Source organism: Homo sapiens, chromosome 17 (assembly GCF_000001405.40).
Source record: "Homo sapiens chromosome 17, GRCh38.p14 Primary Assembly".
In the NCBI taxonomy this organism is placed as follows: Eukaryota; Metazoa; Chordata; class Mammalia; order Primates; family Hominidae; genus Homo; species Homo sapiens.
In genome coordinates, this window is record NC_000017.11 from 23,582,937 (window position 1) to 23,600,716 (window position 17,780).

Sequence of the window (17,780 nt, forward strand, 5' to 3'; positions counted from 1 at the left end):
TTTGATAGTTCAGGTTTGAAACACTCTTTCTGTAGGATCTGCAAGTGGCTATTTGGACCACTCTGTGGCCTTCGTTCGAAACGGGTATATCTTCGCATAAAATCTAGACAGAAGCATTCTCAGAAAATACTTTGTGATGATTGAGTTTAAATCACAGAGCTGACCATTCCTTTGGATGGAGCAGGTTTGAGACACACTTTTTGTAGAATCTACAAGTGGATATTTGGACCTCTCTGAGGATTTCGTTGGAAACGGGATAACTGCACCTAACTAAACGGAAGCATTCTCAGAAACTGCTTTGTGATGATTGCATTCACCTCACAGAGTTGAACATTCCTATTGATAGAGCAGTTTGGAAACACTCTTGTTGTGGAATGTGCAAGTGGAGATTTGGAGCGCTTTGAGGCCTATGGTAGTAAAGGGAATAGCTTCATAGAAAAACTAGACAGAAGCATTCTCAGAAACTTCTCTGTGATGTTTGTGTTCAACTCCCAGAGTTTCACATTGCTTCTCATAGAGTAGTTCTGAAACATGCTTTTCGTAGTATCTGCAAGTGGACATTTGGAGCGCTTTCAGGCCTGTGGTGGAAAACGAATTATGGTCACATAAAAACTGGAGAGAAGCCTTCTCAGAAACTTCTCTGTGATGATTGCATTCAACTCACAGAGTTGAACCCTCCTATGCATAGAGCAGTGTTGAAACTCTCTTTTTGTGGAATCTGCAAGTGGATATGTGGACCTCTCCGAAGATGTCTTTGGAAACGGGAATATCTTCACATAAAAACTAAACAGAAGCATTCTCAGAAACTTCTTGGTGATGTTTGCATTCAAATCCCAGAGTTGAACCTTCCTTTGATAGTTCAGGTTTGAAACACTCTTTTTGTAGGATCTGCAAGTGGATATTTGGACCACTCTGTGGCCTTCGTTCGAAACGGGTACATCTTCGCATAAAATCTAGACAGAAGCATTCTCAGAAAATATTTTGTGATGATTGAGTTGAACTCACAGAGCTGAACATTCCTTTGGATGGAGCAGGTTTGAGACACACTTTTTGTAGAAACTACAAGTGGATATTTGGACCTCTCTGAGGATTTCGTTGGAAACGGGATAACTGCACCTAACTAAACGGAAGCATTCTCAGAAACTGCTTTGTGACGATTGCATTCACCTCACAGAGTTGAACATTCCTATTGATAGAGCAGGTTGGAAACACTCTTGTTGTGGAATGTGCAAGTGGAGATTTGGAGCGCTTTGAGGCCTATGGTAGTAAAGGGAATAGCTTCATAGAAAAACTAGACAGATGCATTCTCAGGAACTTTTTGGTGATGTTTGTATTCAACTCCCAGAGTTGAACTTTCCTTTGGAAAGAGCAGCTATGAAACACTCTTTTTCTAGGATCTGCAAGTGGACGTTTGGAGGGCTTTGTGGTTTGTGGTGGAAAAGGAAATATCTTCACCTAAATACTAGAGAGAAGCATTCTCAGAAGCTTCTCTGTGATGACTGCATTCAACTCACGGAGTTGAACACTCCTTTTGAGAGCGCAGTTTTGAAACTCTCTTTCTGTGGCATCCGCAAGGGGACATGTAGACCTCTTTGAAGATTTCGTTGGAAACGGAATCATCTTCACATAAAAACTATACAGAAGCAGTCTCAGAATCTTCTTTGTGATGTTTGCATTCAAATCCCAGAGTTGAACTTTCCTTTCAAAGTTCACGTTTGAAACACTCTTTTTGCAGGATCTACAAGTGGATATTTGGACCACTCTGTGTCCTTCGTTCGAAACGGGTATATCTTCACATGACATCTAGACAGAAGCTTTCTCAGAAAATTCTTTGGATGATTGAGTGGAACTCACAGAGCTGAACATTCCTTGCGATGTAGCAGTTTAGAAACACACTTTCTGCAGAATCTGCAAGTGCATATTTGGACCTCTCTGAGGAATTCGTTGGAAACGGGATAATTTCAGCTGACTAAACAGAAGCATTCTCAGAACCTTCTTCGTGATGTCTGCATTCAACTCACAGTGTGGAACCTTTCTTTGATAGTTCAGGTTTGAAACACTCTTTTTGTAGAAACTGCAAGGGGATAATTGCACTTCTTTGAGGGCTAACCGTAGTAAAGGAGATAACTTCCTATAAAAAGAAGACAGAAGCATTCTCAGAACCCTCTTCGTGATGTTTGCATTCAACTCACAGTGCTGAACCTTTCTTTGATAGTTCAGCTTTGAAACACTCTTCTTGTAGAAACTGCAAGTGGATATTTGGTCCTCTCTGAGGATTTCGTTGGAAACGGGATAAACCGCACAGAACTAAACAGAAGAATTCTCAGAGCCCTCTTCGTGATGTTTGCATTCAACTCACAGTGCTGAACCTTTCTTTGATAGTGCAGCTTTGAAACACTCTTTTTGTAGAAACTGCAAGTGGATGTTTGGTCCTCTCTGAGGATTTCGTTGGAAACGGGATAAACCGCACAGAACTAAAACAGAAGCATTGTCAGAAACTTCTTTGTGATGATTGCATTCAACTCACAGAGTTGAAGGTTCCTTTTCAAACAGCAGTTTCCAATCACTCTTTCTGTGGAATCTGCAAGTGGATATTTGGGCCTCTCTGAGGATTTCGTTGGAAACGGGATAAAACGCACAGAACTAAAACAGAAGCATTCTCAGAAACTTCTCTGTGATGTTTGTGTTCAACTCCCAGAGTTTCACGTTGCTTTTCATAGAGTAGTTCTGAAACATGCTTTTCGTAGTGTCTGCAAGTGGACATTTGGAGCGCTTTCAGGCCTGTGGTGGAAAACGAATTATGGTCACATAAAAACTGGAGAGAAGCCTTCTCAGAAACTTCTCTGTGATGATTGCATTCAACTCACAGAGTTGAACCCTCCTATGGATAGAGCAGTGTTGAAACTCTCTTTTTGTGGAATCTGCAAGTGGATATGTGGACCTCTCCGAAGATGTCTTTGGAAACGGGAATATCTTCACATAAAAACTAAACAGAAGCATTCTCAGAAACTTCTTGGTGATGTTTGCATTCAAATCCCAGAGTTGAACCTTCCTTTGATAGTTCAGGTTTGAAACACTCTTTTTGTAGGATCTGCAAGTGGCTATTTGGACCACTCTGTGGCCTTCGTTCGAAACGGGTATATCTTCGCATAAAATCTAGACAGAAGCATTCTCAGAAAATACTTTGTGATGATTGAGTTTAAATCACAGAGCTGAACATTCCTTTGGATGGAGCAGGTTTGAGACACACTTTTTGTAGAATCTACAAGTGGATATTTGGACCTCTCAGAGGATTTCGTTGGAAACGGGATAACTGCACCTAACTAAACGGAAGCATTCTCAGAAACTGCTTTGTGATGATAGCATTCACCTCACAGAGTTGAACATTCCTATTGATAGAGCAGTTTGGAAACACTCTTGTTGTGGAATGTGCAAGTGGAGATTTGGAGCTCTTTGAGGCCTATGGTAGTAAAGGGAATAGCTTCATAGAAAAACTAGACAGATGCATTCTCAGGAACTTTTTGGTGATGTTTGTATTCAACTCCCAGAGTTGAACTTTCCTTTGGAAAGAGCAGCTATGAAACACTCTTTTTCTAGAATCTGCAAGTGGACGTTTGGAGGGCTTTGTGGTTTGTGGTGGAAAAGGAAATATCTTCACCTAAATACTAGATAGAAGCATTCTCAGAAGCTTCTCTGTGATGACTGCATTCAACTCACGGAGTTGAACACTCCTTTTGAGAGCGCAGTTTTGAAACTCTCTTTCTGTGGCATCCGCAAGGGGACATGTAGACCTCTTTGAAGATTTCGTTGGAAACGGAATCATCTTCACATAAAAACTATACAGAAGCAGTCTCAGAATCTTCTTTGTGGTGTTTGCATTCAAATCCCAGAGTTGAACTTTCCTTTCAAAGTTCACGTTTGAAACACTCTTTTTGCAGGATCTACAAGTGGATATTTGGACCACTCTGTGTCCTTCGTTCGAAACGGGTATATCTTCACATGACATCTAGACAGAAGCTTTCTCAGAAAATTCTTTGGGATGATTGAGTGGAACTCACAGAGCTGAACATTCCTTGCGATGTAGCAGTTTAGAAACACACTTTCTGCAGAATCTGCAAGTGCATATTTGGACCTCTCTGAGGAATTCGTTGGAAACGGGATAATTTCAGCTGACTAAACAGAAGCATTCTCAGAACCTTCTTCGTGATGTCTGCATTCAACTCACAGTGTGGAACCTTTCTTTGATAGTTCAGGTTTGAAACACTCTTTTTGTAGAAACTGCAAGGGGATAATTGCACTTCTTTGAGGCCTACCGTAGTAAAGGAAATAACTTCCTATAGAAAGAAGACAGAAGCATTCTCAGAACCCTCTTCGTGATGTTTGCATTCAACTCACAGTGCTGAACCTTTCTTTGATAGTTCAGCTTTGAAACACTCTTCTTGTAGAAACTGCAAGTGGATATTTGGTCCTCTCTGAGGATTTCGTTGGAAACGGGATAAACCGCACAGAACTAAACAGAAGAATTCTCAGAGCCCTCTTCGTGATGTTTGCATTCAACTCACAGTGCTGAACCTTTCTTTGATAGTGCAGCTTTGAAACACTCTTTTTGTAGAAACTGCAAGTGGATGTTTGGTCCTCTCTGAGGATTTCGTTGGAAACGGGATAAACCGCACAGAACTAAAACAGAAGCATTGTCAGAAACTTCTTTGTGATGATTGCATTCAACTCACAGAGTTGAAGGTTCCTTTTCAAACAGCAGTTTCCAATCACTCTTTCTGTGGAATCTGCAAGTGGATATTTGGGCCTCTCTGAGGATTTCGTTGGAAACGGGATAAAACGCACAGAACTAAAACAGAAGCATTCTCAGAAACTTCTCTGTGATGTTTGTGTTCAACTCCCAGAGTTTCACGTTGCTTTTCATAGAGTAGTTCTGAAACATGCTTTTCGTAGTGTCTGCAAGTGGACATTTGGAGCGCTTTCAGGCCTGTGGTGGAAAACGAATTATGGTCACATAAAAACTGGAGAGAAGCCTTCTCAGAAACTTCTCTGTGATGATTGCATTCAACTCACAGAGTTGAACCCTCCTATGGATAGAGCAGTGTTGAAACTCTCTTTTTGTGGAACCTGCAAGTGGATATGTGGACCTCTCCGAAGATGTCTTTGGAAACGGGAATATCTTCACATAAAAACTAAACAGAAGCATTCTCAGAAACTTCTTGGTGATGTTTGCATTCAAATCCCAGAGTTGAACCTTCCTTTGATAGTTCAGGTTTGAAACACTCTTTCTGTAGGATCTGCAAGTGGCTATTTGGACCACTCTGTGGCCTTCGTTCGAAACGGGTATATCTTCGCATAAAATCTAGACAGAAAGCATTCTCAGAAAATACTTTGTGATGATTGAGTTTAAATCACAGAGCTGAACATTCCTTTGGATGGAGCAGGTTTGAGACACACTTTTTGTAGAATCTACAAGTGGATATTTGGACCTCTCTGAGGATTTCGTTGGAAACGGGATAACTGCACCTAACTAAACGGAAGCATTCTCAGAAACTGCTTTGTGATGATTGCATTCACCTCACAGAGTTGAACATTCCTATTGATAGAGCAGTTTGGAAACACTCTTGTTGTGGAATGTGCAAGTGGAGATTTGGAGCGCTTTGAGGCCTATGATAGTAAAGGGAATAGCTTCATAGAAAAACTAGACAGATGCATTCTCAGGAACTTTTTGGTGATGTTTGTATTCAACTCCCAGAGTTGAACTTTCCTTTGGAAAGAGCAGCTATGAAACACTCTTTTTCTAGAATCTGCAAGTGGACGTTTGGAGGGCTTTGTGGTTTGTGGTGGAAAAGGAAATATCTTCACCGAAATACTAGAGAGAAGCATTCTCAGAAGCTTCTCTGTGATGACTGCATTCAACTCACGGAGTTGAACACTCCTTTTGAGAGCGCAGTTTTGAAACTCTCTTTCTGTGGCATCTGCAAGGGGACATGTAGACCTCTTTGAAGATTTCGTTGGAAACGGAATCATCTTCACATCAAAACTATACAGAAGCAGTCTCAGAATCTTCTTTGTGATGTTTGCATTCAAATCCCAGAGTTGAACTTTCCTTTCAAAGTTCACGTTTGAAACACTCTTTTTGCAGGATCTACAAGTGGATATTTGGACCACTCTGCGTCCTTCGTTCGAAACGGGTATATCTTCACATGACATCTAGACAGAAGCTTTCTCAGAAAATTCTTTGGGATGATTGAGTGGAACTCACAGAGCTGAACATTCCTTGCGATGTAGCAGTTTAGAAACACACTTTCTGCAGTATCTTCAAGTGCATATTTGGACCTCTGTGAGGAATTCGTTGGAAACGGGATAATTTCAGCTGACTAAACAGAAGCATTCTCAGAACCTTCTTCGTGATGTCTGCATTCAACTCACAGTGTGGAACCTTTCTTTGATAGTTCAGGTTTGAAACACTCTTTTTGTAGAAACTGCAAGGGGATAATTGCACTTCTTTGAGGCCTACCGTAGTAAAGGAAATAACTTCCTATAGAAAGAAGACAGAAGAATTCTCAGAGCCCTCTTCGTGATGTTTGCATTCAACTCAAAGTGCTGAACCTTTCTTTGATAGTGCAGCTTTGAAACACTCTTTTTGTAGAAACTGCAAGTGGATATTTGGTCCTCTCTGAGGATTTCGTTGGAAACGGGATAAACCGCACAGAACTAAAACAGAAGCATTCACAGAAAACTCTTGTTGACGACTGAGTTTAACTCACAGAGCTGAACATTCCTTTGGATGGAGCAGTTTCGAAACACACTATTTGTAGAATCTGCAAGTGGATATTTGGGCCTCTCTGAGGATTTCGTTGGAAACGGGATAAAACGCACAGAACTAAAACAGAAGCATTCTCAGAAACTACTTTCTGATTATTGCATTCAAGTCACAGAGTTGAACATTCCCTTTGACAGAGCAGTTTGGAAACTCTCTTTGTGTAGAATCTGCAAGTGGAGATATGGACCGCTTTGAGGCCTATGGTAGTAAAGGAAATAGCTTCATATAAAAGCTAGACAGTAGCATTCTCAGAAACTTCTTTGTGATGCTTGCATTCAACTCACAGAGTTGAACTTTCCTTTCGAGAGAGAAGCTTTGAAACACTCTTTTTCCAGAATCTGCAAGTGGACATTTGGAGGGCTTTGAGGCCTGTGGTGGAAAAGGAATTATCTTCCCGTAAAAGCTAGATAGAAGCATTGTCAGAAACTTCTTTGTGATGATTGCATTCAACTCACAGAGTTGAAGGTTCCTTTTCAAAGAGCAGTTTCCAATCACTCTTTCTGTGGAATCTGCAAGTGGATATTTGGACCTATTTTGAAGATTTCGTTGGAAACGGGAGAATCTTCACAGGAAAGCTAAACAGAAGCATTCTCAGAAACTTCTCTGTGATGTTTGTGTTCAACTCCCAGAGTTTCACATTGCTTTTCATAGAGTAGTTCTGAAACATGCTTTTCGTAGTGTCTACAAGTGGACATTTGGAGCGCTTTCAGGCCTGTGGTGGAAAACGAATTATGGTCACATAAAAACTGGAGAGAAGCCTTCTCAGAAACTTCTCTGTGATGATTGCATTCAACTCACAGAGTTGAACCCTCCTATGGATAGAGCAGTGTTGAAACTCTCTTTTTGTGGAATCTGCAAGTGGATATGTGGACCTCTCCGAAGATGTCTTTGGAAACGGGAATATCTTCACATAAAAACTAAACAGAAGCATTCTCAGAAACTTCTTGGTGATGTTTGCATTCAAATCCCAGAGTTGAACCTTCCTTTGATAGTTCAGGTTTGAAACACTCTTTTTGTAGGATCTGCAAGTGGATATTTGGACCACTCTGTGGCCTTCATTCGAAACGGGTATATCTTCGCATAAAATCTAGACAGAAGCATTCTCAGAAAATACTTTGTGATGATTGAGTTTAACTCACAGAGCTGAACATTCCTTTGGATGGAGCAGGTTTGAGACACACCTTTTGTAGAATCTACAAGTGGATATTTGGACCTCTCTGAGGATTTCGTTGGAAACGGGATAACTGCACCTAACTAAACGGAAGCATTCTCAGAAACTGCTTTGTGATGATTGCATTCACCTCACAGAGTTGAACATTCCTATTGATAGAGCAGTTTGGAAACACTCTTGTTGTGGAATGTGCAAGTGGAGATTTGGAGCGCTTTGAGGCCTATGGTAGTAAAGGGAATAGCTTCATAGAAAAACTAGACAGATGCATTCTCAGGAACTTTTTGGTGATGTTTGTATTCAACTCCCAGAGTTGAACTTTCCTTTGGAAAGAGCAGCTATGAAACACTCTTTTTCTAGAATCTGCAAGTGGACGTTTGGAGGGCTTTGTGGTTTGTGGTGGAAAAGGAAATATCTTCACCTAAATACTAGATAGAAGCATTCTCAGAAGCTTCTCTGTGATGACTGCATTCAACTCACGGAGTTGAACACTCCTTTTGAGAGCGCAGTTTTGAAACTCTCTTTCTGTGGCATCCGCAAGGGGACATGTGGACCTCTTTGAAGATTTCGTTGGAAACGGAATCATCTTCACATAAAAACTATACAGAAGCAGTCTCAGAATCTTCTTTGTGATGTTTGCATTCAAATCCCCGAGTTGAACTTTCCTTTCAAAGTTCACGTTTGAAACACTCTTTTTGCAGGATCTACAAGTGGATATTTGGACCACTCTGTGTCCTTCGTTCGAAACGGGTATATCTTCACATGACATCTAGACAGAAGCTTTCTCAGAAAATTCTTTAGGATGATTGAGTTGAACTCACAGAGCTGAGCATTCCTTGCGATGTAGCAGTTTAGAAACACACTTTCTGCAGAATCTGCAAGTGCATATTTGGACCTCTGTGAGGAATTCGTTGGAAACGGGATAATTTCAGCTGACTAAACAGAAGCATTCTCAGAACCTTCTTCGTGATGTCTGCATTCAACTCACAGTGTGGAACCTTTCTTTGATAGTTCAGGTTTGAAACACTCTTTTTGTAGAAACTGCAAGGGGATAATTGCACTCTTTGAGGAGTACCGTAGTAAAGGAAATAACTTCCTATAAAAAGAAGACAGAAGCATTCTCAGAACCCTCTTCGTGATGTTTGCATTCAACTCACAGTGCTGAACCTTTCTTTGATAGTTCAGCTTTGAAACACTCTTCTTGTAGAAACTGCAAGTGGATATTTGGTCTTCTCTGAGGATTTCGTTGGAAACGGGATAAACTGCACAGAACTAAACAGAAGCATTCTCAGAACCTTCTTCGTGATGTTTGCATTCAACTCACAGTGTTGAACCTTTCTTTGATAGTTCAGGTTTGAAACGGTCTTTCTGTAGAAACTGCAAGTAGATATTTGGACCTCTCTGAGGATTTCGTTGGAAACGGGATAACCCGCACAGAACTAAAACAGAAGCATTCACAGAAAACTCTTGGTGACGACTGAGTTTAACTCACAGAGCTGAACATTCCTTTGGATGGAGCAGTTTCGAAACACACTATTTGTAGAATGTGCAAGTGGATATTTGGGCCTCTCTGAGGATTTCGTTGGAAACGGGATAAACCGCACAGAACTAAACAGAAGCATTCTCAGAAACTACTTTGTGATGATTGCATTCAAGTCACAGACTTGAACATTCCCTTTGACAGAGCAGTTTGGAAACTCTCTTTGTGTAGAATCTGCAAGTGGAGATATGGACCGCTTTGAGGCCTATGGTAGTAAAGGAAATAGCTTCATATAAAAGCTAGACAGTAGCATTCTCAGAAACTTCTTTGTGATGCTTGCATTCAACTCACAGAGTTGAACTTTCCTTTCGAGAGAGAAGCTTTGAAAAACTCTTTTCCAGAATCTGCAAGTGGACATTTGGAGGGCATTGAGGCCTGTGGTGGAAAAGGAATTATCTTCCCGTAAAAGCTAGACAGAAGCATTGTCAGAAACTTCTTTGTGATGATTGCATTCAAGTCACAGAGTTGAAGGTTCCTTTTCAAAGAGCAGTTTCCAATCACTCTTTCTGTGGAATCTGCAAGTGGATATTTGGACCTCTTTGAAGATTTCGTTGGAAACGGGAGAATCTTCACAGAAATGCTAAACAGAAGCATTCTCAGAAACTTCTCTGTGATGTTTGTGTTCAACTCCCAGAGTTTCACGTTGCTTTTCATAGAGTAGTTCTGAAACATGCTTTTCGTAGTGTCTGCAAGTGGACATTTGGAGCGCTTTCAGGCCTGTGGTGGAAAACGAATTATGGTCACATAAAAACTGGAGAGAAGCCTTCTCAGAAACTTCTCTGTGATGATTGCATTCAACTCACAGAGTTGAACCCTCCTATGGATAGAGCAGTGTTGAAACTCTCTTTTTGTGGAATCTGCAAGTGGATATGTGGACCTCTCCGAAGATGTCTTTGGAAACGGGAATATCTTCACATAAAAACTAAACAGAAGCATTCTCAGAAACTTCTTGGTGATGTTTGCATTCAAATCCCAGAGTTGAACCTTCCTTTGATAGTTCAGGTTTGAAACACTCTTTCTGTAGGATCTGCAAGTGGCTATTTGGACCACTCTGTGGCCTTCGTTCGAAACGGGTATATCTTCGCATAAAATCTAGACAGAAGCATTCTCAGAAAATACTTTGTGATGATTGAGTTTAAATCACAGAGCTGACCATTCCTTTGGATGGAGCAGGTTTGAGACACACTTTTTGTAGAATCTACAAGTGGATATTTGGACCTCTCTGAGGATTTCGTTGGAAACGGGATAACTGCACCTAACTAAACGGAAGCATTCTCAGAAACTGCTTTGTGATGATTGCATTCACCTCACAGAGTTGAACATTCCTATTGATAGAGCAGTTTGGAAACACTCTTGTTGTGGAATGTGCAAGTGGAGATTTGGAGCGCTTTGAGGCCTGTGGTAGTAAAGGGAATAGCTTCATAGAAAAACTAGACAGATGCATTCTCAGGAACCTTTTGGTGATGTTTGTATTCAACTCCCAGAGTTGAACTTTCCTTTGGAAAGAGCAGCTATGAAACACTCTTTTTCTAGAATCTGCAAGTGGACGTTTGGAGGGCTTTGTGGTTTGTGGTGGAAAAGGAAATATCTTCACCTAAATACTAGATAGAAGCATTCTCAGAAGCTTCTCTGTGATGACTGCATTCAACTCACGGAGTTGAACACTCCTTTTGAGAGCGCAGTTTTGAAACTCTCTTTCTGTGGCATCTGCAAGGGGACATGTAGACCTCTTTGAAGATTTCGTTGGAAACGGAATCATCTTCACATAAAAACTATACAGAAGCAGTCTCAGAATCTTCTTTGTGATGTTTGCATTCAAATCCCAGAGTTGAACTTTCCTTTCAAAGTTCACGTTTGAAACACTCTTTTTGCAGGATCTACAAGTGGATATTTGGACCACTCTGTGTCCTTCGTTCGAAACGGGTATATCTTCACAGGACATCTAGACAGAAGCTTTCTCAGAAAATTGTTTGGGATGATTGATTTGAACTCACAGAGCTGAGCATTCCTTGCGATGTAGCAGTTTAGAAACACACTTTCTGCAGAATCTGCAAGTGCATATTTGGACCTCTCTGAGGAATTCGTTGGAAACGGGATAATTTCAGCTGACTAAACAGAAGCATTCTCAGAACCTTCTTCGTGATGTCTGCATTCAACTCACAGTGTGGAACCTTTCTTTGATAGTTCAGGTTTGAAACACTCTTTTTGTAGAAACTGCAAGGGGATAATTGCACTCTTTGAGGAGTACCGTAGTAAAGGAAATAACTTCCTATAAAAAGAAGACAGAAGCATTCTCAGAACCCTCTTCGTGATGTTTGCATTCAACTCACAGTGCTGAACCTTTCTTTGATAGTTCAGCTTTGAAACACTCTTTTTGTAGAAACTGCAAATGGATATTTGGTCCTCTCTGAGGATTTCGTTGGAAAAGGGATAAAACGCACAGAACTAAACAGAAGCATTCACAGAAAACTCTTGGTGACGACTGAGTTTAACTCACAGAGCTGAACATTCCTTTGGATGGAGCAGTTTCAAAACACACTATTTGTAGAATCTGCAAGTGGATATGTGGGCCTCTCTGAGGATTTCATTGGAAACGGGATAAACCGCACAGAACTAAAACAGAAGCATTCTCAGAAACTACTTTGTGATGATTGCATTCAAGTCACAGAGTTGAACATTCCCTTTGACAGAGCAGTTTGGAAACTCTCTTTGTGTAGAATCTGCAAGTGGAGATATGGACCGCTTTGAGGCCTATGGTAGTAAAGGAAATAGCTTCATATAAAAGCTAGACAGTAGCATTCTCAGAAACTTCTTTGTGATGCTTGCATTCAACTCACAGAGTTGAACTTTCCTTTCGAGAGAGAAGCTTTGAAACACTCTTTTTCCAGAATCTGCAAGTGGACATTTGGAGGGCTTTGAGGCCTGTGGTGGAAAAGGAATTATCTTCCCGTAAAAGCTAGATAGAAGCATTGTCAGAAACTTCTTTGTGATGATTGCATTCAACTCACAGAGTTGAAGGTTCCTTTTCAAAGAGCAGTTTCCAATCACTCTTTCTGTGGAATCTGCAAGTGGATATTTGGATCTCTTTGAAGATTTCGTTGGAAACGGGAGAATCTTCACAGAAAAGCTAAACAGAAGCATTCTCAGAAACTTCTCTGTGATGTTTGTGTTCAACTCCCAGAGTTTCACATTGCTTTTCATAGAGTAGTTCTGAAACATGCTTTTCGTAGTGTCTACAAGTGGACATTTGGAGCGCTTTCAGGCCTGTGGTGGAAAACGAATTATGGTCACATAAAAACTGGAGAGAAGCCTTCTCAGAAACTTCTCTGTGATGATTGCATTCAACTCACAGATTTGAACCCTCCTATGGATAGAGCAGTGTTGAAACTCTCTTTTTGTGGAATCTGCAAGTGGATATGTGGACCTCTCCGAAGATGTCTTTGGAAACGGGAATATCTTCACATAAAAACTAAACAGAAGCATTCTCAGAAACTTCTTGGTGATGTTTGCATTCAAATCCCAGAGTTGAACCTTCCTTTGATAGTTCAGGTTTGAAACACTCTTTCTGTAGGATCTGCAAGTGGCTATTTGGACCACTCTGTGGCCTTCGTTCGAAACGGGTATATCTTCGCATAAAATCTAGACAGAAGCATTCTCAGAAAATACTTTGTGATGATTGAGTTTAAATCACAGAGCTGACCATTCCTTTGGATGGAGCAGGTTTGAGACACACTTTTTGTAGAATCTACAAGTGGATATTTGGACCTCTCTGAGGATTTCGTTGGAAACGGGATAACTGCACCTAACTAAACGGAAGCATTCTCAGAAACTGCTTTGTGATGATTGCATTCACCTCACAGCAGTTGAACATTCCTATTGATAGAGCAGTTTGGAAACACTCTTGTTGTGGAATGTGCAAGTGGAGATTTGGAGCGCTTTGAGGCCTATGGTAGTAAAGGGAATAGCTTCATAGAAAAACTAGACAGATGCATTCTCAGGAACTTTTTGGTGATGTTTGTATTCAACTCCCAGAGTTGAACTTTCCTTTGGAAAGAGCAGCTATGAGACACTGTTTCTCTAGAATCTGCAAGTGGACGTTTGGAGGGCTTTGTGGTTTGTGGTGGAAAGGAAATATCTTCACCTAAATACTAGATAGAAGCATTCTCAGAAGCTTCTCTGTGATGACTGCATTCAACTCACGGAGTTGAACACTCCTTTTGAGAGCGCAGTTTTGAAACTCTCTTTCTGTGGCATCTGCAAGGGGACATGTAGACCTCTTTGAAGATTTCGTTGGAAACGGAATCATCTTCACATAAAAACTATACAGAAGCAGTCTCAGAATCTTCTTTGTGATGTTTGCATTCAAATCCCCGAGTTGAACTTTCCTTTCAAAGTTCACGTTTGAAACACTCTTTTTGCAGGATCTACAAGTGGATATTTGGACCACTCTGTGTCCTTCGTTCGAAACGGGTATATCTTCACATGACATCTAGACAGAAGCTTTCTCAGAAAATTCTTTGGGATGATTGAGTTGAACTCACAGAGCTGAGCATTCCTTGCGATGTAGCAGTTTAGAAACACACTTTCTGCAGAATCTGCAAGTGCATATTTGGACCTCTGTGAGGAATTCGTTGGAAACGGGATAATTTCAGCTGACTAAACAGAAGCATTCTCAGAACCTTCTTCGTGATGTCTGCATTCAACTCACAGTGTGGAACCTTTCTTTGATAGTTCAGGTTTGAAACACTCTTTTTGTAGAAACTGCAAGGGGATAATTGCACTCTTTGAGGAGTACCGTAGTAAAGGAAATAACTTCCTATAAAAAGAAGACAGAAGCATTCTCAGAACCCTCTTCGTGATGTTTGCATTCAACTCACAGTGCTGAACCTTTCTTTGATAGTTCAGCTTTGAAACACTCTTTTTGTAGAAACTGCAAGTGGATATTTGGTCCTCTCTGAGCATTTCGTTGGAAACGGGATAAACTGCACAGAACTAAACAGAAGCATTCTCAGAACCTTCTTCGTGATGTTTGCATTCAACTCACAGTGTTGAACCTTTCTTTGATAGTTCAGGTTTGAAACGGTCTTTCTGCAGAAACTGCAAGTAGATATTTGGACCGCTCTGAGGATTTCGTTGGAAACGGGATAAACCTCACAGAACTAAAACAGAAGCATTCACAGAAAACTCTTGGTGACGACTGAGTTTAACTCACAGAGCTGAACATTCCTTTGGATGGAGCAGTTTCGAAACACACTATTTGTAGAATGTGCAAGTGGATATTTAGGCCTCTCTGAGGATTTCGTTGGAAACGGGATAAACCGCACAGAACTAAACAGAAGCATTCTCAGAAACTACTTTGTGATGATTGCATTCAAGTCACAGAGTTGAACATTCCCTTTGACAGAGCAGTTTGGAAACTCTCTTTGTGTAGAATCTGCAAGTGGAGATATGGACCGCTTTGAGGCCTATGGTAGTAAAGGAAATAGCTTCATATAAAAGCTAGACAGTAGCATTCTCAGAAACTTCTTTGTGATGCTTGCATTCAACTCACAGAGTTGAACTTTCCTTTCGAGAGAGAAGCTTTGAAACACTCTTTTTCCAGAATCTGCAAGTGGACATTTGGAGGGCTTTGAGGCCTGTGGTGGAAAAGGAATTATCTTCCCGTAAAAGCTAGATAGAAAGCATTGTCAGAAACTTCTTTGTGATGATTGCATTCAACTCACAGAGTTGAAGGTTCCTTTTCAAAGAGCAGTTTCCAATCACTCTTTCTGTGGAATCTGCAAGTGGATATTCGGACCTATTTTGAAGATTTCGTTGGAAACGGGAGAATCTTCACAGGAAAGCTAAACAGAAGCATTCTCAGAAACTTCTCTGTGATGTTTGTGTTCAACTCCCAGAGTTTCACATTGCTTTTCATAGAGTAGTTTTGAAACATGCTTTTCGTAGTGTCTGCAAGTGGACATTTGGAGCGCTTTCAGGCCTGTGGTGGAAAACGAATTATGGTCACATAAAAACTGGAGAGAAGCCTTCTCAGAAACTTCTCTGTGATGATTGCATTCAACTCACAGAGTTGAACCCTCCTATGGATAGAGCAGTGTTGAAACTCTCTTTTTGTGGAATCTGCAAGTGGATATGTGGACCTCTCCGAAGATGTCTTTGGAAACGGGAATATCTTCACATAAAAACTAAACAGAAGCATTCTCAGAAACTTCTTGGTGATGTTTGCATTCAAATCCCAGAGTTGAACCTTCCTTTGATAGTTCAGGTTTGAAACACTCTTTCTGTAGGATCTGCAAGTGGCTATTTGGACCACTCTGTGGCCTTCGTTCGAAACGGGTATATCTTCGCATAAAATCTAGACAGAAGCATTCTCAGAAAATACTTTGTGATGATTGAGTTTAAATCACAGAGCTGACCATTCCTTTGGATGGAGCAGGTTTGAGACACACTTTTTGTAGAATCTACAAGTGGATATTTGGACCTCTCTGAGGATTTCGTTGGAAACGGGATAACTGCACCTAACTAAACGGAAGCATTCTCAGAAACTGCTTTGTGATGATTGCATTCACCTCACAGAGTTGAACATTCCTATTGATAGAGCAGTTTGGAAACACTCTTGTTGTGGAATGTGCAAGTGGAGATTTGGAAGCGCTTTGAGGCCTGTGGTAGTAAAGGGAATAGCTTCATAGAAAAACTAGACAGATGCATTCTCAGGAACCTTTTGGTGATGTTTGTATTCAACTCCCAGAGTTGAACTTTCCTTTGGAAAGAGCAGCTATGAAACACTCTTTTTCTAGAATCTGCAAGTGGACGTTTGGAGGGCTTTGTGGTTTGTGGTGGAAAAGGAAATATCTTCACCTAAATACTAGATAGAAGCATTCTCAGAAGCTTCTCTGTGATGACTGCATTCAACTCACGGAGTTGAACACTCCTTTTGAGAGCGCAGTTTTGAAACTCTCTTTCTGTGGCATCTGCAAGGGGACATGTAGACCTCTTTGAAGATTTCGTTGGAAACGGAATCATCTTCACATAAAAACTATACAGAAGCAGTCTCAGAATCTTCTTTGTGATGTTTGCATTCAAATCCCAGAGTTGAACTTTCCTTTCAAAGTTCACGTTTGAAACACTCTTTTTGCAGGATCTACAAGTGGATATTTGGACCACTCTGTGTCCTTCGTTCGAAACGGGTATATCTTCACACGACATCTAGACAGAAGCTTTCTCAGAAAATTCTTTGGGATGATTGAGTGGAACTCACAGAGCTGAACATTCCTTGCGATGTAGCAGTTTAGAAACACACTTTCTGCAGAATCTGCAAGTGCATATTTGGACCTCTCTGAGGAATTCGTTGGAAACGGGATAATTTCAGCTGACTAAACAGAAGCATTCTCAGAACCTTCTTCGTGATGTCTGCATTCAACTCACAGTGTGGAACCTTTCTTTGATAGTTCAGGTTTGAAACACTCTTTTTGTAGAAACTGCAAGGGGATAATTGCACTTCTTTGAGGCCTACCGTAGTAAAGGAAATAACTTCCTATAGAAAGAAGACAGAAGCATTCTCAGAACCCTCTTCGTGATGTTTGCATTCAACTCACAGTGCTGAACCTTTCTTTGATAGTTCAGCTTTGAAACACTCTTCTTGTAGAAACTGCAAGTGGATATTTGGTCCTCTCTGAGGATTTCGTTGGAAACGGGATAAACCGCACAGAACTAAACAGGAAGAATTCTCAGAGCCCTCTTCGTGATGTTTGCATTCAACTCACAGTGCTGAACCTTTCTTTGATAGTGCAGCTTTGAAACACTCTTTTTGTAGAAACTGCAAGTGGATGTTTGGTCCTCTCTGAGGATTTCGTTGGAAACGGGATAAACCGCACAGAACTAAAACAGAAGCATTGTCAGAAACTTCTTTGTGATGATTGCATTCAACTCACAGAGTTGAAGGTTCCTTTTCAAACAGCAGTTTCCAATCACTCTTTCTGTGGAATCTGCAAGTGGATATTTGGGCCTCTCTGAGGATTTCGTTGGAAACGGGATAAAACGCACAGAACTAAAACAGAAGCATTCTCAGAAACTTCTCTGTGATGTTTGTGTTCAACTCCCAGAGTTTCACGTTGCTTTTCATAGAGTAGTTCTGAAACATGCTTTTCGTAGTGTCTGCAAGTGGACATTTGGAGCGCTTTCAGGCCTGTGGTGGAAAACGAATTATGGTCACATAAAAACTGGAGAGAAGCCTTCTCAGAAACTTCTCT

General features: G+C 40.8%; 1 annotated feature.

Moving 5' to 3' along the window:
- Positions 1-17,780: part of a centromere (Linear centromere model derived predominantly from reads generated in PMID: 17803354. This region does not represent an actual centromere sequence, as long-range ordering of repeats and unmapped WGS contigs is not provided by the model. For details of model production, see http://arxiv.org/abs/1307.0035.) that runs on past both edges of the window.